Source organism: Homo sapiens, chromosome 12 (genome assembly GCF_000001405.40).
Source record: "Homo sapiens chromosome 12, GRCh38.p14 Primary Assembly".
NCBI classification, from domain to species: Eukaryota; Metazoa; Chordata; class Mammalia; order Primates; family Hominidae; genus Homo; species Homo sapiens.
Window position 1 is genome coordinate 57,027,333 of NC_000012.12, and position 26,010 is coordinate 57,053,342.

The window sequence follows — 26,010 nt, forward strand, 5'->3', positions numbered from 1 at the left end:
TATCTCAGCTCAAAGCAGGGTGTGCCAGAAGCACGTGGCTTGTGCTCAGACAGCAGATTAATCTGCAGGCAGGAAGAGAAGTTAATCAGTTCTCCCTGGCCAGCATGATAGCCGGCCGTGAGCTGCCTGCAGATGGAAGTCAGGTGGAGGGAGACCCCAGCCCCAAGGCATAGTGAGTTAAGGGAAGGAAGCGGGAAGAGGTAGGCAAGGTAGAGATCTTGAGAAGAGGAAGAGACAGCCAGAGACAAAAACAAAGGCAGACCCTGCTAAGCTCTCACAGACCACAGATCTAAATTTTACTGTGACTACATGAGCAGCTTGTTCCCCAAAGGTAGAGGCCAGACAGAAGGTAGAGACAAGACAGACAAGACAGAATCTATGAGAAAATAGATATGAGGGGGAGTAGGAAAATATTTAAAGCATTTTACAAAATATTACATATTGATATTAGTCAGAGCTCACAGAAACAGGGACAATGAGATGGTGTGAGATAGTTGGGAGGGTGAGAAAAAGATAATGACAATGACGCAGGAAAAATAAAGGAAGAGGAGAGGAAAGGGCCAGGTTACAGGGATGGGAGGGTCTTGATGAGGGAGCCTCATCAAGTGAGTGATGTGAAGTGCCACCTGCTGCAGGCCCCAGCTGTGGGACAGAGACGAGCAAGATAACTGTTGGCAGCAGTTTGGCATCTCGGGTGTGTGAGAAGGAAGGGGGTGTCGGGGAGGCTGGTGTGATGGAGCCCTGTGCTGTGTGTGGGAGTAGAAGGGGTGATGGCGTTCCCAAGTACAGGAGACCCTGCATTCCCCAGCACCCCAGCATACATAAGCCCTCCAGCCTTGGGCTGCTTTTCAGGCTAAATCGCCAAAGGACCCCAGTTTCTGCCAAGACAGGGATGCTCACTTCTTTCCTCCAGGGACACACTTAATGAATCAGTCCACTGGCCACCTGCGACCTGAGCCCCATCCTTAACTCCCCCCGCAGCCCCTCCACCCACCGCAGTCTCTCTAAACACCCCCCCAGAGCTCAGCCGGTCAAGGAGCCCGGAGACAATTTTCCTTCTTTTCCTTTCTTATTACCTCACTAGCTGGCTCCAAGGAGCTTGAGGAGGAAAAAGGGCATGGGGGCAGGGGTCTAAGTACACCTGGGTGAAAAGATAGGGGGAACAAGGACCCACCCACCCTGACTGAACCTTTCCAAGCCACATGTTTTATTAGTGTGCAGAGAGGCTGCGGGTTGGAGGAAGCTACTTTTGGAGGAGAGAACAAGAAGGGTTTGGGACAAGGGTCCTCTTCAAGGGTAGTTTAATCCCCAAGCCATGCGCCACGATCAGAGGGGTTAGAGATCCTCCCACACAGGAGGGCAGAGGGGGATTAGTGCTGGTTCAGGAGGAAGCAACTGCCATCTCTGCATGGTGCCCCCTCCTCACTGCACAGTCACCTCCAAGCAATGACTCCCCTTTTTTTTGTAGCGTAGCTTGCTGTTGTCACCACCTGCAGGGCCCTGGACGACCTTGACAGCCACACTGTTCTCCTTGAACCTCACTGAGAACCTGGAGAGGGAACAGAAAACCAAGTCTAGTGCCCATCCCCTCACCCCGACTCCCGCATTTCCATGATGGCCCCCCCATCATGCGAGTCAGAGGACTTGAGGCCCCAGAGAACCTGGGTGGGGGCCTGAGAAACACCTCCAAGCCCCGGCCTGCACTGCCCTACATGCTTCGCTTTCTGATCCTGGTCACGATGACCATCAGCCTGGCCATCTACCGTAAGCCGCCCCTCACCCCCAGTTCATGGCCTCACTTCTCAGTCACGGTGACTGTAAGCTGCCTCTGCGTGGCATCCAGCACAGCCCGGTACATTTTGGTCAGCAGTTCAATCACATGCTCGCTGACCAGCAGGAAGTCCCCCTTGGAGCCCACCGATGACATCTTAGGAAGAGGGAAAAATAGCAGGAAAGGGATTCATTTTTTCTCTTCAGGAGCACCTGAGGGACATCAAAGGCCCAGAGCGAAAGGTCTGGTCCCCATCACCTCCAGCCTGCCCCAGCCCTGGGATGCATACCACCTTCTCCAGTCCAAGGCTTGCCCCACCCAGCTCTGATACCTCACTCAGATGCAAGCTAAAGAGCCCATCCTTGAGGCTGGTGACTGACACCCCAGCCACATTGTCTAGCCCAATGACAATTTTGGCCTGGGACTTCTTGGTGTCTGTGAGAATCACATGGCCCTTGGTCAGGAGGAGAATCCGAGAAGAAGTCTAGGGACGGAACAGGCAAGGGTGAGGAAAGGCAGGATTAATTGCCCCCACTCCACCTGGCAGGGCGCAAACACAGCCTGCCATCTGCTCTCCAGATGCCAGCCCACAGCTCTGCACTAGCTGCGGGAGGAGTTCAGCCTGCAGGCCCTTACCTTGCCATTGCCACGATTGACCTTCTTCACGGCCTCTGCCATCAGAACAGGCCCCTCCTCCCCGCCTTTCAGCTTCTGCAGCTTGGGGTTCCCTTGCAGCCCAATGTAGTCACCACAGAATGGAATGGGGACACTGAGAACACATGGGAGGTGTGCAGCGCGACAAGGCCCAGAGGCCTCTTCCCCACCCCCAGAGTTCCCATCCTAGTCCTCCCGGGCCCTTCCCCCACATCCACGTATCCTCTGTCAGTGTCCACAGAGCACAGTCCAGGACCAAGACATCAGCACCACCTGGGGAGTTGTTAGAAAGGCAAATTTTGGTCCTCACCCCAAGACCTGCTGGATCAGAGACTCTGAGGAGGGACACAGCACCTGGGGGTGACAATCCTGCCAGGTGATTCTAAGGCACGCTCAAGTTTGAGAACTGCTGCGTGATGGAACTGGCTGTGCAGGGTCTGGGAGGCCCTCACCTCTGGGGATATGAAGCCTTCTTGCCCTTGAACAGTTCACTGGCACAGAGCTTTTCCCTCAGGATCTCTACCTGCTTCGGGGACAGCTGATCCCGGAACCTCTTGCACTGTGAGGAAGGAGGGACAGGAGCTAAAATCATAGAGTGGGAGGGCAGGGCTGGGGAGGGAGGTGAGAAATATTGACTAGAAGACACTAGGAGAGGAGAGAGACTGAGGAAAAAGGACAGGCACTAGACACCTCAGGGAGAGGCCGGGGCTGGAGGACCATTGAGGAGGAGTGCGAGAACTGAGGGAGGCTAGGGGAGGGAATGGACACCATCAAATAAAAGCACCAGGAGGGCTCTATGCTCAGCTCTCAGGGCAAGGCTTAGTCCCAGACAGGTGCTCAATAAGCATTTCCTGAATAAAAGAACAAATTACTTTATGCTAAGTGAAATAAGCCAGACACAAAAGGACAAATATGATTCCCACTTATATGAGGCACTTGGAAAAGTGAAATTCATAGAAACAGAAAGTAGATTATAAGATATCAGGGGCTAGGGGAATGGGAGAATAGGGGGTTATTGCTTAATGGGTACAGAGTTTCAGTTTGGGGTGATGAAAAACGCATATGGAGATGGATGGCAGTGATGGCTGCAGAACAACATGAATGTCGCTCATGCCACTGAACTATACACTTAAACACCGTTAAAATGGTAGATTGTATGTTATGTATATTTTACCACAATTTTTTTAATGGGAAAAAAATAGAAGAGGGAGGCAAAAGAGGAAAATCAGGGGGAGGGAAAAAAAAGACGAAATGAGAGGAGGGGTGCCTGGGCTCCACTTGCCTTCCACTGGTAGAAGAGCTGCTGCAGCTCCTGATTTGCTGTGCTGAGGCACTTGTAGGGGGCGGCTGGCCATGTCTTGTCTAAGACGTTTGTGGATGGCAAATTGTTCTTCAGCCCCAGTAGGAATTTCTGTACCTAGTTTGGGACCAGGGGGATTGGGAGTGGAGTGATAAGAAACACTTCCTGACAGGCAAACTGGCACCCAGATCCTGCCACTTCAAAGGAGGAAGTTAACCCACAGTGAGAAGCAAGGGGTGGAGCTGAAGAGATGGAAGGGAGTCACCTCTTGGATCTTTTTCAGCAAGAGGTGCAGGCTTGAGGCCGGGAGGTAAGAGCATGAATAGGAGACTGGAGGGAGAGAACGATTAGTTCCAACCAAAGACCTGCTACCCAGGGCAGTGAGGTAAGAGGAACCAATATGAAAGCTGGTCTCAAAGTTTTGCTCCTGTAGCTTTCTATTCCTTCTGTTCACAATTGCCTACAGGTGGCAGCCACTGTCTGTGTCAGCTGTTGGCTAGGTACCAAATTTCCCCTCCTCTCAAATCAGTCAAGTCCAAACATGTCAGCCTCCATTCAAAGGAAGAAGGAGCAAATAAAGGAGCAAAGGAGAAAGAGCAAATGAATTCAGGGAGACAATGAAGAGGCCCAGAGCTTCAGAGCCCCCATTCCTCTCTTAAGCTGAGGGATCCAGACCCTCGAACAACAAAGAGAGGCTGTAAGCAAATGTGTCTCATGTCTGAATGAGCAATAGTCAGGGTCCTAACCACGGTCAAAAATCCAATCAGCGGAGGTCAGTTACAATTTGCTCCAGCCTCTGTCCAAGATCCCATGCTCTTCCTCCTTCTCTCTGGCCTTTCCCAGGGTTTCACTGGAAGTGCTTTTCTCTCCTGGGTTTCCTCCCTGACACTTAAGAGCCCAGCCTCATGTCGCAGGACCCCTGCATTCCCTGGGCACACCACCCGGACAGGACTCTTTCCCATGCCCCTACCCAGCCCATGCATGATCACTGTGTGCCTTAGCTCTCGATGCTCTCTTGACTCAACTCTGCCAACCTGGGAGATCAGCTCAAAGCCCTCCCTGATTCCCCAAGCCCCGGATTGCCTCTCCTTTCTTTGAAGCCCCATAGCAATTTGCCTACACTCGTCTTTGTACTACAGTTATTTGCATGGAAAACAGCTCCCTTTTCTAGACACTGAGTCCTTATAAGGCAGGATCCCAGGTCTCACATTTTTTTTCACTAGTCAACATTTATTGAGTGTCTACTTAGTGCCTGGAACTGTTCTAGGTACTGGGACATAACAGTGAACAAAGTCTTCATTTTCACTGGACTTACATTCTACTGTAGGGTGGAGAAGGGGACCAACTACACAAGCAAATAAATATATAGTGTGATGTCAGATAATGGCATCTGCTGTGATGCAAAGAAGTAGACCCTGAGGCAGGAATGAGTGGCAGCATATTCCAGAGACATTAAAAAGCCAGGGTGAGCAAAAATTAGCTGGGCATGGTGGCGCATGCCTGTAATCCCAGCTACTCTAGAGGTTGAGACAGGAGAATCGCTTGAACCCGGGAGGTGGAGGTTGCAGTGAGCCAAGATCGCACCACTGCACTCCAGCTTGGGTGACAGAGCAAGACTGTCTAAAAAAGAAGAAAAAAAAAGGGTGGCCAGAATCACTTGAGCAGGAAGAGAGAGGATCAGAGAGTAGGTCGGGGCAGATCATGATGGGCCTTGTAGGCTGTGGTAAGGAGTGAAATGGAACACCATTGGAGAATTTATACAGAAGAATAGCATAATATGATGTTTTAAAAATTCAATATAGCTTATTATTTTGAAAGTTTTTTTAACTTACAGAAAAGTTGAAAAAAGATACAATTAACATCTGTATACTGTATGTTCCTCATCTAAATGCACCAACTGATAATGTTAACACCTTGCACTATCTGTGTGCTCTGACACACACACATATGTGTGCATATAAATACATGCATATACACATTTACACAAATCCTTGCTACCCTACCATCCTAAAGTAGGTTATAGATATCATGACATTTTACCCTAAAATGTCAGCATGCCTCTCCCAAGAACTGGAACATTCTCTTACACAATCATAACTCCATCACCACACCTAAGAAAATCAACATCACTAATCCAACAGCGATCCACTCTCAGATTTCTCTACATGTCCTTTATAAACTTCTAAACATGTCCTTTGAAGCTTTATTTTTCCTTTTCCAGGATCCAATCAAGCTTCATCCATGGCAACTGACTCTTTAGTCTGCCCCAATCTAGAACAAGGATTCTTAAGTTTTTGTTTTTGCCTCTTTTTTTGAGACAGGGTTTTGCTCTGTCGCCCAGGCTGGAGTGCAGTGCCACCATCACAGCTCACTGCAGCCTTGCCCGCCTCCTGGGCTCAAGCGATCCTCCCACCTCAGCCTTCCAAGTAGCTGGGACTACAGGTATGAGCCACCACACCCACCTAATTTTTAAATTTTTTTTGTAGAGTCTAGGTCTCACTATGTTGCCCAGACTGGTCACAAATTCCTGGGCTCAAGCAATATTCCCGCCTCAGCCTCCCAAAGTGCTAGGATTACAGGAGTGAGTCACCTTGCCTGGCCAAGGTTTTACATCCCATAGAGCACCTAGCAACCTGTTTGTTTATGGCACAGAATTACTGAAGATATAAAAAATGACTTGATTTTTGGCACTTCCAAATGTCTGGAATTTTTATGAAAAAGTTTTACTAAGATATCAGGTTAAAAAATTTAAATAGAAAGAGGCAGAATACATAGTATATTGCTGTTAACTGCAGGAACTATCCAAGCTCATTGTAGCTTCCACTGCAGGTCTAGTGGGTTTGGTGGGTTTGGGATCTGGGCCTGTGAAGGCCTCCAAGACTGGAGTCCCCAGTCCCTAGTCTGATTTTATTTATTAATAATTCAACAAACATGCCTAAGCATCTGTCATAATCCCCTTTGTTCCAATTAATGTGGAGCCTCTGAAGGCTTTCTTCTTTTTATTGTTTGTTCTAGAACTAGAAAGTTCTGCCCTTTCCTATGCAGCCCTCCTGCCCCCAGGTCTGCCTAGGGCCATGGGTTGCCCAAGCCTCTATTGATGAGGGGCAGTCTTAGGCAGTGGTTAAAAGCTCTAGAGTCAAATAGTTTGTAACCCAGCTTTACCACTTACAGCTGTGGAACCCCCGGCAAGTTATTTAACCTCTCTGAGCCTTGGCTTTTTAACTACAAAATGGGAGAAAGAAAAGAGCCTACCTCACAGGGTTATTGAAAGTATTAGAGTTAATGCATGTAAAGAGCTTAATGCATAGTAGATGTTCAAAAGATAATGGGTAAGGCCGGGTGCAGTGGCTCACACCTGTAATCCTAGCACTTTGGGAGGCCAAGGCGAGTGAATCACTTGAGCTCAGGAGTTTGAGACCAGCCTGGGCAACATGGTGAAACCACATCTTTACCAAAAATATAAAAAATTAGCCAGGCGTGGTGGCATGTGCCTGTGGTCTCAGCTACTGGGAAGGCCGAGGCTGAAGGATGGCTTGAGCCCGGGAGATGGAGGTTGCAGTGAGCCGAGATCATGCTTGCTGCATTCCAGCCTGGGCGAGAGAGCAAGATTCCATCTCAAAAAAGAAATAGGCTGGGCGCAGTGGCTCACACCTGTAATCCTAGCACTTTGGGAGGCCGAGATGGGCGGGTCACTTGAGGTCAGGAGTTCAAGACCAGCCTGGCCAACATGGTGAAACTCTGTCTCTACTAAAAATACAAAAATTAGCTGGGCATGGTGGCGCATGCCTGTAATCCCAGCTCAGGAGGCTGAGGCAGGATAATCACTTGAACCTGGGAGGCGGAGGTTGCAGTGAGCTGAGATCGCGCCATTGTACTCCAGCCTGGGTGACAAGAGTGAAACTCTGTCTCAAAAAATAAATAAATAAATAAATAAAAATTAAAAAAATGAGAATGGATACTAGCATTAGTTACAGTCAAGGCAGTGGCAAACTGGAATACTCAGAAACACTGGGGGAATCAGTGCCCAGTGCCCGCAGGCTTCTGTGGGGGTGTGATTTATTGAGACCCTGGTCTAAACCCAGCAGCTTCTGGGTTGACAATTAGTAGCTGCCTGACAATACACAGATGAAAGAAAAGGAAGAAGAAGGGCAGTCAGGAGATAACAGCAAAATCAGATTACAGGTCTCAGGTGTGTAGCAAGAAGCATGTATGGTGGGAAGGCAGACACTCTGGCACCAGCACAAGAGGTGATCAGGCAACTGAAGAGACCTGGAAGATGGAACTTCCCTGGGAAGGGGAAGAGGACGAGCAAATGAAGGCTCAGGAAGGCAAAAAAGAGGTCCAGAGCTTCAGAGCCCCCATTCCTCTCTTGAGCTGAGGGATCCAGACTCTCAAACAACAAAGAGGGGCTGCAAGCAAACATGTCTTATGTCTGAATGAGCACAGTCAGGGTCCTAACTATGGTCAAAAACCCAATCAGCGGAGGTCAATTACCAATTTGCTCCAGCCTCTGTCCAAGATCCCATGCTCTTCCTCCTTCTCTCTGGCCTTTCCCAAGGTTTCATTGGAAGTGCTTCTCCCTCCCTGGTTTCCTCCCTGACACTTCTCAGAAGCACTATTGCTATCTGACTGAAGTCTCCAGAAGTTACTCTTCTCTGTCCCTGTTTTTCTCCCCCTGGGAGCTGTCTGTAAGTTTGAATATGTAGGCCTTCCAGGTGGGTCTTCCCATCCAGCCTGACCCACGTCCTCCAGAATTAGGATAGGTCCTTCCTGAGATTTACTTTCTGACTTGCTGACAATAGTTTCAGAGGAAGTAGAAGGAAGATACAATTCGCCTACTCTCACCCCAACCCTAAAATGGATCTTGGGAGGTTGAGCTAGTTAATGTGTGGATCACTCTACTCTTCAATGAGGCTTAGCCTCTTCAACAGTTGTTAAACATCCAGCCCCAGGATCTTCACAAGGCTATTTGACCATAGACCAGATGGTGGGTGTGCTGAGACCCCTTCCTGCCACAAGGTTGCCTGGATTGTCCACTCATGCCAAAATGCTATCTGATTCTGCCCCCGAGTCCAAGGCACTGGGGCCTGGTCCCTGCAGGTAGCTGCCCTCTTCTCCTAGGACTTAAGTACATGCAGACTGAGGAAACTCTTGGGGGAAAGCTTTGGGTTGCCTCTTCTCAAACCCCTCTCCCAAACCTGTGCCTCCCTGCTCCATCCCTAACATCCACCCTAACCCCTACCACTTACCATGCTCTTGTAGATGAAATCTGCCAAGGTGAGGGCAGCCTCTGACCGGAAATATTTGCGATAATTCTTTCGGGCCTGGCAGAAAAGTACAAGAAAGGAGCCAAAGTGAAGATAGGCAGATTCTAGAAGAGGTTGTACTATTTTTCAACCACGCAAAGACCTGAGTAAGATAAAGAGCTGAGACTGTAGCTGGAAGTTGGAAGTAAAATCAGACAAGTTGGCAGTGAGGACACTTAGAGCAGAAGGCAAAGTTCTGCTGCCAAGTTAGGCATCTACCCACCCAGACACCTCTACAGGTCTCCCCTACAGGCCTCTCACTCCCAGACACCCACCCACACATGGACCGGCTGATACACAGAGGTGCGGCCTGGGTGCAGGCAGGACTAGCTCTCTGCTGCTCTAGCCAGCAGGTGACACAATCCAGGAGAAACAATGTGAGGAAACCTCTCTTCCACTCTCCATTACCTTCCACCCTCTCACAAAAGCCTGGATCAATAACACGGATGCCTTTATCTTCCCATAGCATTTCTTTTGCTGTAGAAAACATAGGAGTTGTTAGAAAAATGGCACCTCCTGAGCCACCTTCCATCTTCCCTATTAGAGTGAACAGAGTGGGACTTTGGGGATGACCGTACCATGTTTCCCCGAAACCAAGAGGAGATGAGGATCTGACTCTTTCGCATCAGTTGGTAGTGGGTGCGGCAGCGCCAGCCTCGGTAAATCTTCTGTATGAGTGTGGCCAGCTGCTGGAGTCTCAGGCGCCTCTGTTCTTCGAGGTAGAAAAGCTGTGGAGAGGTGGAAGGGGGTGACAGAGAGACTGGCTCAGGGGAACAGTGCTGTCCTCTCCTATACCCCACAGTACTGAGGCTTCCCAGCCAGGCCTTATTTGATCATTCCTTTGTCTTCTTAGTTTGCTCATTTATTCATTCAGTAAACAAGTATCTACTTAACTCTAACTTTGTAGCAGGCAGTAAGCTAGAAGTTGATCACCCCAACCCTCAAGGGCTCTGCCTCAGGCAAAGGCACTTAGAGCCATGCAGCACCAAGCTCCCCAGGCTCAGGGCAGTGTAGGAACCCAAGAGTTCAATTCCCAGGGATACGGTTCCTGCAGACAGGAAGCTTCCCATCCACTGGACAGTGATCCATTCCAGGTTATACACGCTCCCTCCCCCTCCAGCCTTTCTCAGGTGGGCTCTTCCACCTTCTACCCTCACCAAATGCTAATGCACTCTCTAACTCACAGTCTTGGGGCTTCTAATGAAGATCTTTGTCTTGCCAAAGGCCAGCTCCCCCGAGGACATGCTCAGCTCCCCCAGGACCTTCTCAACACCTTCCCTATGGAAGCAAATGACAGAAAGCTGCAGAGGGGTATCTCAGGAGAAAGTCCTCTTCCACCTTTCCCCTAATCCTTTCAGCCTCCAAGAAGTGATCATTCAATTCATTTCTCAAAGTATCCATTCACCCAGCTTCAGCAGATGTGCACTGCACCTCCAGGTCTCTTCCCCCAGAGATGTTTCCTGCACTGCCCTTTCCTGATGCCCAGTCTCCCCATGGGGTCTTACCGGTCTCCCCCATTCCAGTGAGGCCAGGTGCTCCGGCTCAGCAATCGGTACCTTTCCAGGAAGGGCCCATAACCCTGGCGGTGGGCATAGCCTGCCCGTCGCACCCGTACGTTCTCCAGCAGTCCCAGGTACCGAGCCTGGGTTGCCACCAGGTCTGAAGAGAACTGACCTCGCTGCTGATGCTCATTGGGCTTTATGCACCTGGTGGGAGGTGGGGTAAGGCACAGCCTTCAGGAGCTGACATCATTGCCAGTGTAACCCATCATATTCCCCTATGCTGCACACGGTGCACTTCACTGAAAAGTTTCAAAGAAAGTAGACACACTGGCCTCCCCAGTTTCACTCACTTCTATGTATTCCCTATCGAATCTGATGCTCTCCCCCTGTGGGACTCTCAGCTCCTTATCTGACTGTTTTCTGTGAGGAAAGGACCTCTGACATCCTTATTCCAGAAGCACCCCCACATGGACGTGTTCTACAGCGCATGGACCCTGCACGTGCCATCACATATGTAGCATGTTCCCCTGCATGCCAGCATGTCACCTGATGTAGTTGGGGCTCTTGGAATACAGATTCTTCATGAGGATGGCCACAGAACTCTTGAACTGGGCCCCAGCAGTCGGGGGGCGTTTGAGAGATGCCTGCTTAGGATTGCCCTCAGGAAACAAGGACCGAAGGAGGGGGTGCTGGGCCTTCCACATGGCCTGCAACAGGTCTCGGAAGAGTAGGTCATTATTCTTGTCAATAAAGCTGGTCACGTTGTATGTCACCTGTAAAGGAGCAGCTATTGGTTTGGAGACCCCACAACCTTGTCCCAGCACTTGGCCCTCCCAGTCTCATTGTGAAGTATTCCAGACTCTCACCTTCCCCGGGTTCCTCCCCCATTGACTTCAGTCTGGGCCTGAGCCCTAATCTCTGCCCTCCAGCCCTGCCATTTCACCTTGCCCGCATAGTGGCAGATGCGGAAGCAGCTGAGGCCCATGGTGTGGTCATACTGACGCTGGGCATTCTGGGTGACTTTGCTCTCGTAGTGGCCATGCTTGGAGAAGAGCTGGTTCAGCTTTGCTAGGAAAGTGGAGTCACTGACCACCCCAGGCCGCAGGCACTCCTCATCCAACATGGCCAGGATACCTCGCTGATTCTGGGCCGGGGGAACAAAAGAAGCCCAACCTAAATCTGGTCCTCCGAGATGTCCACGTTCTCATTGCTGCCCCCTTTCTCCACTCTTATCTTCTGCCCTCTTTACTGTCCCTACCAAGTGGGGAATCAGGGAGAGAGACAGGGGAAGGATGTTCAGGCAGTCTGGAAGGGGAAGTCCCACAGATAAGAGAATGACAACTCACATGCTCAATGAGCTTACAAATGATGCCATTATCAAAGTAGTCCACCTTTGTCCACGGTATGCCCTGGTCAGGGGAGACAACAAATTACAGGGAACACGTCCAAGACAAGCCTCCAGAGACCTCACCAGATCTAGCCTTTCACCCACCCAACAAAGGACATCAGAAAGCCCCATAGTTCACAGGGGTCCTTGGTATGATTTCTATTTATGTCCCCATCCCTCCAAGGTTGGTGGAGAATTTGTGGGGTGGGTAGACAGACACACGGAAGGAATTGGAGCAGCTGTGAGAGAGGGTGAGACAATGCAGAGATCCCTGTAGGTGGTGTAGGGTGGAGAGGGAAGTGTAACATGTTGAGTGAAGATTAGGATAGAGATTTCCTGTGTGGGAGTGGGGAAGGATCCATGCGTATGTGCAACAGCGGCCACACTACTCTGTGCTCTATAAAACCACAGCACGTGAGAGTTTATCATCAAACAACAAGGCTAATTTGATACATCTTCAAAGATCTACATCAGTGATTCTCAAATTTGAGTGTGCAGCACAACCACCTGGAGGGCTGTTAAAATACAGATTTCTGGGTCCCACTCCCCAAGTTTCTGATTCAACAGGTCTGGGATGTGGGCCTGGAATCTGCATTTCCAACATGTTTCCAGGTGATTTTGATACTGCTGGTCCAGGACTACCCTTTAGGAACCACTTTATCTACATGAGACTTTGAGACTATATAATGTTTTGAAAAGCAAGAATGGTACAAAAGCAGAAGACCCAAAGATAATCGTTCTCTACTTTGGGGACTTGCTGGGCATCAGGCCTACAGACAGGATAGCTCCTGATCCCACCCAAGGGTCAGACGCTCCAGGCTGGGACATTCTCAGGTATGGCTGGGAAGCATAGGTCTTTCTTTCCTCCCTCTATCACAGGTCTTTAAAGAAAACAAAATTAAATTAAGTTGCCTCCCACTTCATCCCCCAAATACCTTCCCCAACCAGTTAAAGGAATTATGATATTCTTAAAATACTGTGTTGCTGTAAAAAAGCATCCTTACATACTGACATGGAAAGATCTCGTTACGTGATGACAATAAGGTACAGAACAGAGTGTATTTACTGCCATTTGTATAGATTTTGTGGGGAAATATATTTACAAATTTGCTTGCATATGCGTAAGGACTTCTGGAAGGAAGCCCATGTTGGTTGCCTCTGGGTGGGGAGGAGAACTAGGAGGCTAGGGGCAGAAGTAGGAGGGAAACTTTCCTTATATACTTTCTAAGCTTTTTGAATTTTGAAGCATGGGAATGTATTATGTATCTGATCATTTAAATCGTTAAAATTAAAACATACAAAACAACTAAAAAAACTTTTTCACACATTGTGACCACATTGCCTGAAATTCTGTTATAACCTATTCCTGAGAGCTCACAAGGGAACATCCCTGGGAGGGTTTTGATGAGTGAGACTCTCAGCCATTCACACTTTGAAGGTAATGAGCTCAATCAGAGAGCTTTTCTAACACTTAGCCATAGAAATTGGAGCCATGGGGTACTTCTGGTGAGGAAGTCTGGGATCATGGTGTTACAAGAAAGGACAGCAACTCTAGCTAGGGCCCGGGGGAGACCAAGGACTCTGAGATGTTAGAGAAGGGCATAGAAAGAGATGTGGTTGGGCCAAACCCAGAAGAAATGTCCTTTTTATATTTGGCTCACAGTCTGCCATAGGCCAAGCACAGCTGTCACTTCCCTCTTGTCAGGACTTTCCACACATGTACCCTGGGAGGCCAGGGAAATGAAGAATGGAGAGCAGAGGATTAGGGCTACTTGGTAATGCTGGAATGATCTACTATGCAAGGGAAACATTTTGTCCTCTGTGTTCACATCTGGGGACGATGTAGAGGAAATTGTGATCAAGGAGAAAGGAAGCTCTGGCATATGCCTAGAAGTTGTTTAAGAGGGGGAAGTAGAAAAGACTTGGTTTACTTCTCTCTTATATTCCTCTTGCTCTTCTTTCAGGGTCATCTCTATGAACACCTGCTGCAGCTTCTCATTGCAGTAGTTGATCACAAATTGCTCAAAGCTATTATCCTGAGAGAGGGAGCACAGGTTAGAGAGCTCACTCCAAGACTGTTTCTCCGTCTCAGTCCTACCTCCCCTCCCTCACATCCCCCCTGTGAGCCTGTCCACCTCTAATCCTAGGGGAGCAGGGTGCTGAGGTGAGGCACTCTCACCTCTAATATCTCAAAACCGTAGATATCAAGGACTCCCATTACCTTCTTCTTTTCCCCGATGCCCACCTGAAGAGGAGAGAAAGATAAATCTGAGGACAGGCCCCCTCTGCACACCAGGCCAGGTCCTTCTGGAGCGGATGGGGTTGGAGTAGGGGGCAAACAGAACTAGCAAGAGCTTTGCCAAACTGGAAAGGAATTGTTGTGATTTTACTCTCCCTCCTCCACACACTAGAGAACAAGCAAAGAGGGAGGAAAGGAGGAAAAGGAAGATACAGATAGATTCCAGGATGGTGCTCCGATGGTACCAGGTAGAAAGACAATAAAACCTCTCAGGACAATAACCATCTCTTATATTTGTAGAGCATTTTACAAAAGATTCCATGTCTTTATTTATCATAACCTTATAAGGTATTATTGTTCCCATTTTACAGATAACAAAGTCAAATTTCAGAAGGATAGGTACTTACCAAGCCTAGACTCAAATTCCTTCTTATTCTACTACCTTTCAGTAATAGCTTCTAAATAGATGGCACTTCCATGTGGATAATTTGTTAATAACAGCTTTACTGAATATAATTCACATACCATGTACAATTCAGTGGCTTTTTAGTATATTCAAAAGGTTGTACAACCATCACCACTATCTAATTTCAGAACATTTTCACCACCCCACAAAAGAAATCCTATACCCATTATTAGTCACTCCCCATACCCCTCTCCCCCCAGCCCTTGGCATTCATTGATCTACTTCCCATCTCTATGAATTTGCCTATTGTGGACATTTCATATGAATGGAATCAAACAAAATGTGGTCTTTTGTGACTACCTTCTTTCACTCAGCATAATGTTTTCCAGGCTCATCAATCTTGAAGCATGTATCAGTACTTCATTCTTTTTATGGACAAATAACATTCTTTTGTACAGATATACCACATTTTGTTTATCTCTTCATCAGTTGATGGACATTTGGGCTGTTTCTACTTTTTGGCTATTACAAATAAGGCTTCTGTGAACATTTGTGCACAAATTTTAGTGAGGACATCTAATTTCAGTTCTCTTGGGTATATACCTAGGAGTGGGAATTGTGGTATCATATGGTAACTATTTACATAATTTATCTGATCCTTATTAAACCCTGTGAAGCAGGTAGGAATGCATTAGTGTTTCTTAAATAGTTTTTTATTTAACTTATTTTTTTTCATAAAATATAGAGTTGGGGTCTCACTATATTGCCCAGACTGGTCTTGAACTACTGAGCTCAAGTGATCCTCCCACCTCAGCCTCCCAAAGTCCTGGGATTACAGGCATGGACCACCACACCCAGCATATTAGTGTTTCTTAGTGGGCATTTCCAAATCAGGACACTGAGGCCCAGAACCTTTGTGAAATTGAAAGTCCACATGACTTTTTACTTAATTGAAAGTCCACATGACTTTGAATTAAGTAAGTAGATGATATATCCAGATTGTCTAACTCAAAAGCCAGTGATGTTTCCATGACAACACACTGTTAGAAGGAACTGTACCCTCCCCATCATCCTCCCTACTCTGCTCATCTCAGAAACCAAGATATAGGGCTGGTGACAGGGCAGGAAGGTGAGGCAGACAGGAGAGCATGGAGAAAGCAGAGCGGCCACTTGCCTTGATGCTCTCATTGATTCGATTCACTATCCAGTCAAAGAGGCGGCTGTAGATGTTCTTAGCCAGGGCGTCCCGAGCATACTGAGCCTGTGGGTGAGGCACAGCTGATTAGGGTGGCATCACAGAACAGGGTCGAAACAGCCCCCTCCACTCCAGTGAGCTCCTTACCTGCATAACATTCAGTGCAGTGACCACCTTTTCCTTGGCTGTTTCCATGGTCCTCGAGCACAAAGCTCTCTCTACTTCTTCTGAATTCAAGCCCACCATCTCCCCAATCTCCCGAACACCTGGGATAATGAGAAAGTACAGCATGTCCTTAGAGGCAGCTTTCTCTCAGGGGAGGGAGTGCAATCTGATAAGTGAAACTGCCTGAGACACTGGTGTCCTGGGGTCTCACTGGAGAAGTCATTGCAGCCAACCCAGAACATGGCCCTGGAGGAATCTCAGGGAGTTGGGGGACAGAAGAAAGGGGATCTGGGCATTTTGCATGTATCATCTACTTTAATATGAGAATCTCCTGAATTAGGTGTGATTATCCCCATTCTGCAGAAGAATCAACTCAGACTCAGAGAATTTCCAGACCTAGATATATCAAATTTCAAAAGCTCATTCCAATATGCTTCATCGGGAGTTCTCAGTGAGTCTGTTTAGGGGAGAACTCAGGAGTGGGCTGAGTGGGACTGCATCAGGGTGAGATCAATTATGCTAGAGATGGTAGAAGGACACGACTTGTAGTAGGAAATTCAGGGTCTGGGTAGGAGCTCCAGCAGGCTGGGATGCAGACCTCTCCCATCACGGATGCCACTTGCTGGTATCCCACTGGCCTGGAACTCATCAGCCACCAACACGTTCCCCAGCTTTAGCACCATGGATGTCACCTCTAGCACTTGTCGAATCTCCTCCTCCGAGAACCCAATCACTGCCATTGCACTCTTAGGCAGAAAGCAGAAATCAAAAGCTGAACTGTTGGTGCCAGTCCAATGCGAATAGAGGATGACCTAAGGGCCCAAGCCTGCCTCACCCTGGGCACCCACCTGTACAGCCCTGAAGCTGGAGGCGTCGTCCATGCCATCCACTCTGGATACTTCATGATTCAGATAGGCATAGCCAGTTGTATCCCGCTCAAGCTTCAGGGCCTCTGGGAGGGCCAGTGTTGGGGAAGATGGTTAGTACCCAGGCTCTCTGGAGCCCTCCAGCCTTGACACCTCACAGCCCTTGCCCTAATGGATTCATTCACTTATCCAAAGGAGTCATTTTTGTTTTGGGTTCTTCCCCTGCCTCCTTTGTTTTGGGATCATTAATTCCTGTGATGATAGACTAATTTTTGTTGTTGTTGAGACAGGGTCTCACTCTGTCACACAGGCTGGAGGGCAGTGGTGCGATCTCAGCTCACTGCAAGCACCACCTCCCAGGTTCAAGTGATTCTCATGCCTCAGCCTCCTGTGTAGCTGGGACTATGGGTGCATGCCACCACGCCTGGCTAATTTTGGTATTTTTAGTAGAGATGGGGTTTCTCTATGTTGGCCAGGCTGGTCTTGACTCCTGCACTCAAGCAATCCACCCGCCTCGGCCTCTCAAAGTGCTGGGATTACAGGCATGAGTCACTCGGCCTAACAGACTAAATTTTTAAGTATACTTTTAAGTAGTGTTTAGGGTTTTGATGCTCATATTGATTGGGTTTTCCCCCAACTTTTATGAAACAAAACCCTCATTTTACTCTTCTCCCTACCCTCAGGGTTCTAAACAATAAAAATAAACAAGCAACCCTTCCATCCTACGCAGGTGCCTCTGGACGGTGAAGGTAAGGGGAGAAGGGTAAGCGCATATCTCCTGCCTGCCCCCAGCCTCAACTCTTGGCGTGGGTTGCTCATTCATTGTTTGAACACCAAACACCAATAAAGTGGCAGGTAGCATGTTCCCTGACCCTGACACCTCTTCTGAAAAGTTTTCTCTGATGCTGAGGGCCTGAGCCAAATGGCTGTCTTGCATTCCCCACTGGTGAATCTATATCCCAGCCCATATCATATGGGCTAGGTTTTGTTTTTTTCTGTCTCTCCCATAAATGAGCAACTTGTGGGTTGGGACTGTGTTTCTCATCTCCATATTCTGTGTGCCTTTCTGGCATGCAGGAAATTTTCTCTTTTTAATAAATGAATCAAGTGAATGATCAAAGCTGTTTCCCTAGGATGGGAGGGATTCGGTTAATCATGGAGTTTGAGGGATGTCAATTATCTGGTATGCAAATGATCTGAGAATCAGGGAGTATCCCTCAAACTATAGTCTAATGGCAGCTCCCCCAGCACACAAAGTTTGAAACAAGGGCCTGCTAAGGAGGGTATCTGGAGGGAGAATGAGTCAGAATGTCTGGGGATGATGATACCTGGGAGACCTCATCTAGAGTTGATTTAAACCAATAGATGACAGACCAACCAGAACAAGACACTAATGCCCATGATGCAGACAAGTTGAACATAACCAAAACTATTAAGCCAGGAAAGAGCATGAGATCTGCAGGGGTTCCTGAAGATCACAGAGATCTCCAAGAGTGGAAAAGGAGATAGCACAGGTCTATCATAGAATCACCAGAAACCAAAGAGACATTCTTAGGGGCCAGACACCCACGGTGCTCACAGCCAGAGAGGAGATTGGGAGGCAAACTCCAGTAGGGCTTAAAGTCCACCAGACACTCCAGTGATGCCCACCCAGAGCCACTTCAGGCCAGTCCAGCATCCAGGCTGTGATGGACCCTTCCCCAGGCCAAGCCAAGGGGCTCTAGGTCTTCTGCTCTTATAGCCAGCTGCACAGGCCTGATGGCCCCGATCACACAATATTACAATGGATCTGCTCACACACCTCTTATCCCTAGAAGACTATAAGTTCTTCGAGGACAGGGTCATGTCTTACTCAACTCTGTATCCCTAGAGGCTAGCATAATATTTGATCATAGGTGTTCAAGAGATGTTGAATGAATGAATAAATGAATGAGTGAATGAATGAATGAAAAGAAAATCAGGAACAGGGTCCTAGGTAAGGCAGATGTAGACCCAGGACAGCTTCAACTAGAGTTCACTGAAAGTTCCTGAACACTTACAACATTCTGCCTGCTTCCCTGCTTTAATTAAATCCCCTTAAGTTGAAGGTAGGAAGGAAAGTAGATGGATATAAGTGTTTTATATTTGAAGCCAGCTCAGGGAAAGCAGAACCCAGGCAGGAAAGAGGAACGAGAACAGTGAAGAGGCAAGAAGGCATATCCCTGGCAATAAAACCCCAGAAAAGGAAGAGAACACAGGGGTAAAGGAATTTGTTCCCAACAATGAGTGGGTGAGGCTGAGAATGGGAAATGCAGCAAGGAAAATCTGGGAGGCTCAAGGGAAGAGGGCTGTAGGGGCCCAGAGGGAACAGGGGTTCTGGGACTGAATGGAGGTTGGGGACTTTGCCATGTGTCACTCATGAGGACACTTTCCCCATGCAGGCACATACTCAGCAGCTGTTCATCTGCTCCAGCCAGCAGCTGATAGAAGATGTGGAAGTTCCTTTCTCCTTTGAGCTGCTTCACTAATCGGGATTTCTCAAGCAGATCTGGCAGAGAATTAGAAAAATAATATCCTGAGGGCCTGGGAGATGCCGTAGCTTCTCCAGCCCTACTGGAGAATGCCCCCATCGCCGGCATTCCTAGTGGTTGGGAAGTCTCCTTGACGTCTAACATTCTGCCTTTCTACAGGAACAGATTAGCAGAAAGGGCCATGGGAGGCAGGTGGAAGACAGGTGAGTGGAATTGGGGAGACACGTACAGTTTGTGATGACACCACCGAGGGGGGATCCCTTGAAGTCAAATTCAATATCCATGTATTTTCCCTTCAGAGAGAGACCAGAGAGAGAGACTTAGCTTCTTCCTCTTCTCACCACCCTGCCTGGAAGGGGTCTGTGCCACATTCCTCCCTCTTAAGCCCCCACATCCTCTCTTCCCAGGTGGGGAGACATTTACTCACAAATCGGGAGGAATTGTTGTTGCGAATGGTCTTGGCATTGCCAAAAGCTACAGAGATGAGGAGGGGAGAAGTGAAACTCTAGAGAAGGGAAAGGAGGAAGGGCTTCCAGTCCTCATGACAATCTCAGATTTTTCTGGGTCGAACAAGAGAGGTGATTTTGCAGCACTGGGGAAGAGGGTCTAGGGCTCAGTGATTCTGGGGGTTAGATGGAGGGTGGAGAGGGCAGAGAGCAGAATTCTCACCCTCCAGCACTGGGTTAGACTGTAGCAGCTGCTCCTTCACAGAGTTCACCTGCTCTCCTTTCCCACAGACGGCAGCCACATAAGACATCACCAGCTTGCTGGCCTCTGTGCAGGCAAAACGCTCTCATGGGTCCCCACCCAGGACTAGCCCATCCCCCCACCTCCTTAACTTGCTTCACCCCAGTGCCTCACCACCCCTTGGAGTCAGAAAAAGTGGAAAGGAAGTTCTGTGGGGTGGAGGGTCAGGTCTAGGTCTGGCTTGCAAAGAGACAAGGAAGCAGTTCCAGAGGTGACTCCATGTGTTCCCCCAGCCAGGGGCCTCACCAGTCTTCCCTGATCCACTCTCGCCTGTGATGAGGATACACTGGTCTCGGTCCCTGTCCCTCAGTGACTGGTACGCCACATTTGCCAATGCGTAGCTTGTGGGGAGGAAGTGGGCAATGACTATTGTGAAACCAGTTCAAGACACCATCTTTCACTCAATCTCCAGCACGCAGGTTCATCCACTCTCTCTACTTGGAGCAGACTGGGCAAGATGTGACAGGCCTTGGAAGGGGCCTCCAGAAGGCCAGGGAAGGAAGGGGCAGCTGGAGAAGCCCCTTCAGGGGAAGGGACAAAGGAAATTAGGATGACTCAGTGTCAAGAAGCTGGGGCCCTGTCAGCCTTCCCTTGGTCCCCCTACTCACATATGGGGCTTCAGCTCATAGAAAGTATAGTCTTGATATTTGGCAATGAACTCTGGCCCATAGATGGGAAGCTGTTGATAGGGATTCACTGAGATCACCACATTCCCAATGTAGGTCTGGAGCCAGGAAGAAGGTGAAGGGAATGAGCTTGAGGGTGAGGTGGGAGCCTGTGACCTCTCCAGCCACATATCCACAGCCAGAGGCACCCATATGACACTCACATAAATCTCCTTGTTTTCATAGCGAAGCTGAAGATTCTTGAGCAGTGACTCCTCCACCAAGGGTTCCAGGAGGACAAGATCCTCCACCCCCACAGAACCTTCCAGGAGAGGCATGTCCAGAGGGGCCACTGATCCTGGGAATAAGAGGCACAGTTTGCTGATGTCCACTCAGCTTTAGGGGCCAGTAACTGTTTGAGGGGAGGATGGCAGAAGGACCAAAAGAGCCTTCCTCTCTTCCTACCCTGGCCCTAAAGAGAGCCCCCAACCTAGGAGAGGCCTCTGGACCAGCCCAAGCTAATAGGGAGGCTGAAACTCTCAGCAGGAGGTGGGGGAGATCCTCTGCTGCCTGGGTTACAGTTGGTGGGGGTGGGGCAGGGGTGGAACAGGAACACCTTCCTCTGACCACCAGGGGAAGGCAGGCACCCAGTGGGCTACAACTGGGGGAGCAGAGTTGTGACTGAAGGAGAGAGGGCTGAGGAGGAAAGTGTAAGCAAAGACTTGTGCTGCCGCCAGGTACAGAAAGCCCTCTCTCTCCTACAATGGGCCCTGGCCAGGGTCCAGACTCCCCATCTACCCCCAGTGCTTCTTCTCAACACCTTACCTCTCACAGCCCCTATTAAAGACACCCAACCTACCCATAACCATTTCAGAAGTTCTTCCAAAGGTCTCTCCTTCCCTGTCATTGCTACAGTGAGCTTCATTTTTAAAATGGGAACTTGACAAGGCAGAATTATAGAGGATAGAGGCAGGATTCCTCCATAAGAGATTGGAATTTCCCAAAGAAAATGAAAGTGGGGTTTGCTTCCCCAACAAACAGGCAGTTGTCAGGACCTCTGGATGTGCTACATGTCTGTCTCTATTTTTCCATCTCTAGCTTTTACACCCACTCCTGTAAACTTCTGGCATGGACTTTGCCCCAGAGGGACACACCTAGCTTCTTGCGGGAGTGGGCAAGGAGGAGCACAGTTGGAACTACAGGGAGGGTGGTGGGGCTTGGCCCCCATGCAGTAGGCACATGGCAGGTGTTCCCTAAGGAGGAAACCTGGCCCTCCTCAGTCTTTCCTGTGAGACTGAGTAGGCAGAGTGGCCAGGCACAGGACAGGATTATTAGTACAATGGTCAAGGCCACTCCTGAACAGGAATGAAAGAGACACATCCTCCTATGCTATTGCATCTCTGAACCCGGGTGGAGGAGCGGAGGAAGGAGGAACGGAAGTGGGGCAAGAAGGGGCACAGGCTTCCTTCTCCCTTCACTTGGCTTTCCCCAAGCTCTAGGAAAAGAGAGCACTTGTCACTTACCAGAAGGACACAACTGAGGAAGCAATAAGAATATCAATAATAGCAGTCTCTAGGAATCATGCAGCGTTTACCACGAACTGGGCAGGGCTCTAAGCACTGTACATACACTAATTCATTTAGTGCTTACAATATCCCCATGAAGTAGATACTATTTTTGTATTTTCTAGATTTTACAAAAAGCTAAGTCTTTTAACTAACTTGGCAGGGAAGGGTGAGAAGCAGAAGGTGGGTTGGGAGCAGTCATCTTCTTTGGATTTGGATTTGAAGGGAGTGGGAATGTGACTGGTTGAGGGTGGGGAAGGGAAAAAGGCAAGAGGCCCCAGATGGGGCGCCCCAAGGTGTTAAAGAGAAGCAGTGACAGGTCAAGGCAGGACTCACCCAACACTGGAACTAGGGTATAACTTCACTGTCCTTGGAGAATGGTGGATGAAATCTCAATTTGACAGGAATGGGGCATAAGAGTCCTGGCCCCAGGATGGAGAGGTGGCTTAATGGGAGCTGTCCATGGTGCAAGGAAGCTGGGAAAAAGGCTGCCCTCCTCTTGCCAGTGTCCACTCTTCTGATTTTCCCTTTTGCTGCCTCTTCCAGCCCAGGCTCCCTGTGCCAGTCAAACCAGGAGAGGCCGGAGATGGCTGATCAGCACAAAGTCCAGACTGTTCCTGCTGAGGGTGTGGCTCACTTAACCCTTCACAGGCCTGAAGCCCCAGAGGGAGACACTCAAGCTCCCTCTAGGTAGGAAAGGGTATCTGGCTGGCGTTAGCTGAGAGGCTTAACTAAAGGAGGGTTCTTGCTCCATTGTCTCCCAAATTTGGAAATGAAAGCTGGAAGAATGGAATTTATAGCCAAGGAAAATATTTCCCAAAGAGAAGTCAGGAATTTTGTCAAGGACAGGTAGGGCCAAGTGCGGTTGCTCATGCCTATACTCCCAGCACTTTGGGAGGCCAAGGCGGGAGGATCACTTGAGCCCAGGAGTTCGAGACCAGCCTAGGCAACATGGCGAGACACGTCTTTACAAAGAGTGTCTTCCTAGCAAAAAAACAGTACCTCCCTCATACCTACTCTTCCTATCTTATCGGGAGTCAGGGGATGTTAATGAGATTACTTGGAGAGCTAAGCAGACAAAATCCCCAAATTCTTCTCCACTTCCCTTCCCCCATGAATCAGACCCTATCATAGAGACCCAAAGATTAAAGTGATTAGTAATAATACCTCACATGTGTATAGATGTCCCAGTTTCATTGAACTCCCCCTTGCATTGCCTCACTGAATAGCACCACCCCGAGGAAGGCAATACAGATACTCCATTAAAATGGAAAACTAGGAACAAACACCAGACTCAGAGAGGTTACACAATGTGCCCACAGTTCCATGCTAGTGCATGGCAGAACCAGGAACAGAATGCAGCTCCCTAAGTTTGCCAAAAGTTGCAGCCCAAGTTCTGAAGTTTCTAATTTTAATTCGTCAGCACTAGGATACTGAGTAAGACCCTGAGCTAATGTAATAGCTCCCTCTGATAGATAAGAAGTACCCCTTCATCCAGCCAGGAAAATTCCTAAAAACAGCAAGCCCCCTCTGCCTACCATCCTCTCTCCCAGGCATGCAGAAAGAACAAATTAGGTAATTATAGACACTTAACTGAAGAGAGACTTGATTCTCCAACTCTCAGCTATGGCTGCTTGGTGCAAGGTCCAAACTCTATGGCTCTCACAGAAGCACTCTGCGTAAGCCTGGCACATCAGCAGTTCTATTATCAACCTGCCTTTACATAATTTATTGATCTACTACATATATTTGAAGGTGGAGGGGGGCAAGGAAAAGAGAGAAAGCTGAGTGGAAGTGACATCAAAACATAATGCTATGTGTAGGTGGAGCAGTATCCATGTCCTAGAGGCAGAAGTGACAAATATCACCTATTTACCAGTGGAGGAAACAGATCTAGAGTGAGAAAACCACTTTTCCAGGGTCACACCACTGCAAACCTGGCAGAGCTGGCACCAAAACCCAAGTCTCATGTTCTCTAGGCCAGGAATCTGCAGCCATCTGGGGTTTACCTGCATGTCCACCCATTCAGTCAACTGAGTGCCTACTATGTGCTTACTCACGAGAAAAGTGACTCTAAAATGAGATGGCACTCTCAGGTGTAAGAACAATGACATGAACATCACAGCTAGGGCAACCAACTGTACTGATCCGCCTGTGGGACACAGTGGGGTTCTCTGGACATGGGAATTTGAGTGTTAAAACTAGGAAAGTCCCAGGCAAACTGGAGCCAGTGGGTCAGCCTAAATTAACAAGATATGAAATACACATCCAAGTCAGCTGGGATTTTCTAATCTCCTGCTTTCTAGGCAAAACTGAAGCAACCAGAGCGTATTAGTCTTCCTCTACTTTGACTCCTAAATCACCTTCCTTTTTCCCCCATTAACATTTCTAGACCATGGAAGGGGCAAGAGGGAACTTTTTGGGGTTACAGAAATGGTCTATATCCTGATTGTGGTAGTGGTTATACAACTGTCTCCATTTGTCAAAACTCAGCAAATTTGTACACTTAAAACTGGCAAATTATATTGTTATGTAAATCGTACTTCAATAAAACTGGCAAAAAAAAAAAAAAAATTCTAGGCTGGGTGCAGTGGCTCACGCCTGTAATCCTAACACTTTGAGAGGCTGAGCCGGGCCGATCACTTCAGGCCAAGAGCTCGAAACCAGCCTGGCCAACATGGTGAAACCCCGTCTCTACTAAAAATACAAAAAAGATTAGCCCGGGCATGGTGGCGGGTGCCTGTAATCCCAGCTACTCAGGAGACTAAGGCAGGAGAATCGCTTGAACCCGGGTGGTGGAGGTTGCAGTGAGCCGAGATCACGCCATTGTACTCCAGCCTGGACAACAAGAGCAAAACTCCGTCTCAAAAAAAAAAAAAAAAAATTCCAAATCATTTGGTGCTGATTTCTGACAAATTGGGAAGGCAGCAATCTGATTAAGCCAATTCACTCATTAATCTTCCCACAGGTACTAACTTTTAAAAAGATGTTACACAATAAAAAGGCAGCTATTTTCAGATATGGTGAGGAAGACATTTGGTGGTAGAGGGTCTTCTCGGCTCTCATAAACTATCTGGTACTAATAACATTTATCATACTTAGACTGGACTAAGATGTGCCAGGCAACAAGCTAAGTGCTTTACATCATTGCTATTCAAAATGAGGTCCACAGACCAGCACCATCTGATCAACTGGGAGCTTACCAGAAATCCAGAATCTTTGGAAGGCTGAATTGGGAGGTCTGCTTGAACCCAAGAGTTCCAGGCTGCACTGAGCTATGAGTGTGCCACTGCACTCCACTCCAGCCTGGGCAACAGAGCAAGATCCTGTCTCTTAAAAAAAAAAATAAATGCAGATTCTTGGGCACCACTGAAGATTTAGTGAATCAGAATCTGCATTTTAACAAGATCCCCAGGTGATTCCCATGCACTTTAAAGTTGGAGAACTGCTTTACCCAACTTACCATGTTTTTTTTTAAATTATACTTTAAATTCTAGGGTACATGTGCACAACATGCAGGTTACATATGTATACATGTGCCATGTTGGTGTGGTGCACCCAGTAACTCATCATTTAACATTAGGTATATCTCCAAATGCTATCCCTCCCCCCTCCCCACATCCCACAACAGGCCCCAATGTGTGATGTTCCCCTTCCTGTGTCCATGTGTTCTCATTGTTCAATTCCCACCTATCAGTGAGAACATGCAGTGTTTGGTTTTTTGTCCTTGCGATCGTTCGCTGAGAATGATGGTTTCCAGCTTCATCCATGTCCCTACAAAGGACATAAACT

General features: G+C 48.4%; 1 protein-coding gene across 4 annotated transcripts, besides 4 other annotated features; it reads right to left on the reverse strand.

The window, feature by feature from the left end:
* Window positions 1,185-23,866, reverse strand: MYO1A (myosin IA). Of its 4 annotated transcripts, none has more exons than XM_047428876.1 (29): window positions 23,813-23,866; window positions 22,555-22,774; window positions 20,878-21,011; window positions 20,657-20,772; window positions 20,295-20,389; window positions 19,971-20,075; window positions 19,729-19,775; window positions 19,531-19,594; window positions 19,220-19,318; window positions 16,774-16,877; window positions 16,524-16,671; window positions 15,908-16,026; window positions 15,740-15,826; window positions 14,100-14,165; window positions 13,852-13,956; window positions 11,880-11,942; window positions 11,477-11,677; window positions 11,080-11,306; window positions 10,537-10,737; window positions 10,216-10,309; window positions 9,610-9,759; window positions 9,440-9,508; window positions 8,975-9,049; window positions 3,708-3,842; window positions 2,878-2,984; window positions 2,408-2,540; window positions 2,103-2,255; window positions 1,800-1,927; window positions 1,185-1,549 (listed from the first exon to the last, which is right to left on the reverse strand). In XM_047428876.1, exons 3-29 carry the CDS (start codon window positions 20,989-20,991, stop codon window positions 1,423-1,425), a joined length of 3,132 nt encoding a protein of 1,043 aa, XP_047284832.1. In that variant the 5' UTR covers window positions 20,992-21,011; window positions 22,555-22,774; window positions 23,813-23,866; the 3' UTR covers window positions 1,185-1,422. The 4 variants fall into 4 exon arrangements, with proteins under 4 accessions (XP_047284832.1, NP_001242970.1, NP_005370.1 ...); NM_001256041.2 differs by having other exon boundaries at window positions 23,386-23,866; NM_005379.4 differs by lacking the exon at window positions 23,813-23,866 and having other exon boundaries at window positions 22,555-22,797.
* Window positions 2,106-2,943: an enhancer, noted in NCBI's record as "H3K4me1 hESC enhancer chr12:57423222-57424059 (GRCh37/hg19 assembly coordinates)". NCBI's record gives its function as "activates a minimal SCP1, AML or CMV promoter by ChIP-STARR-seq in naive H9 embryonic stem cells {active_cell/tissue: H9 hESC(naive)}" and the evidence as "EXISTENCE:reporter gene assay evidence [ECO:0000049][PMID:30033119]".
* Window positions 3,985-4,074: an enhancer, noted in NCBI's record as "active region_6520". NCBI's record gives its function as "activates an Ori minimal core promoter by ATAC-STARR-seq in GM12878 lymphoblastoid cells {active_cell/tissue: GM12878}" and the evidence as "EXISTENCE:reporter gene assay evidence [ECO:0000049][PMID:35858748]".
* Window positions 4,135-4,314: an enhancer, noted in NCBI's record as "active region_6521". NCBI's record gives its function as "activates an Ori minimal core promoter by ATAC-STARR-seq in GM12878 lymphoblastoid cells {active_cell/tissue: GM12878}" and the evidence as "EXISTENCE:reporter gene assay evidence [ECO:0000049][PMID:35858748]".
* Window positions 19,519-20,718: an enhancer, noted in NCBI's record as "BRD4-independent group 4 enhancer chr12:57440635-57441834 (GRCh37/hg19 assembly coordinates)". NCBI's record gives its function as "activates an origin of replication core promoter dependent on BRD2, P300/CBP, MED14 and CDK7 cofactors, and independent of BRD4, by STARR-seq in HCT116 cells {active_cell/tissue: HCT116}" and the evidence as "EXISTENCE:reporter gene assay evidence [ECO:0000049][PMID:35650434]".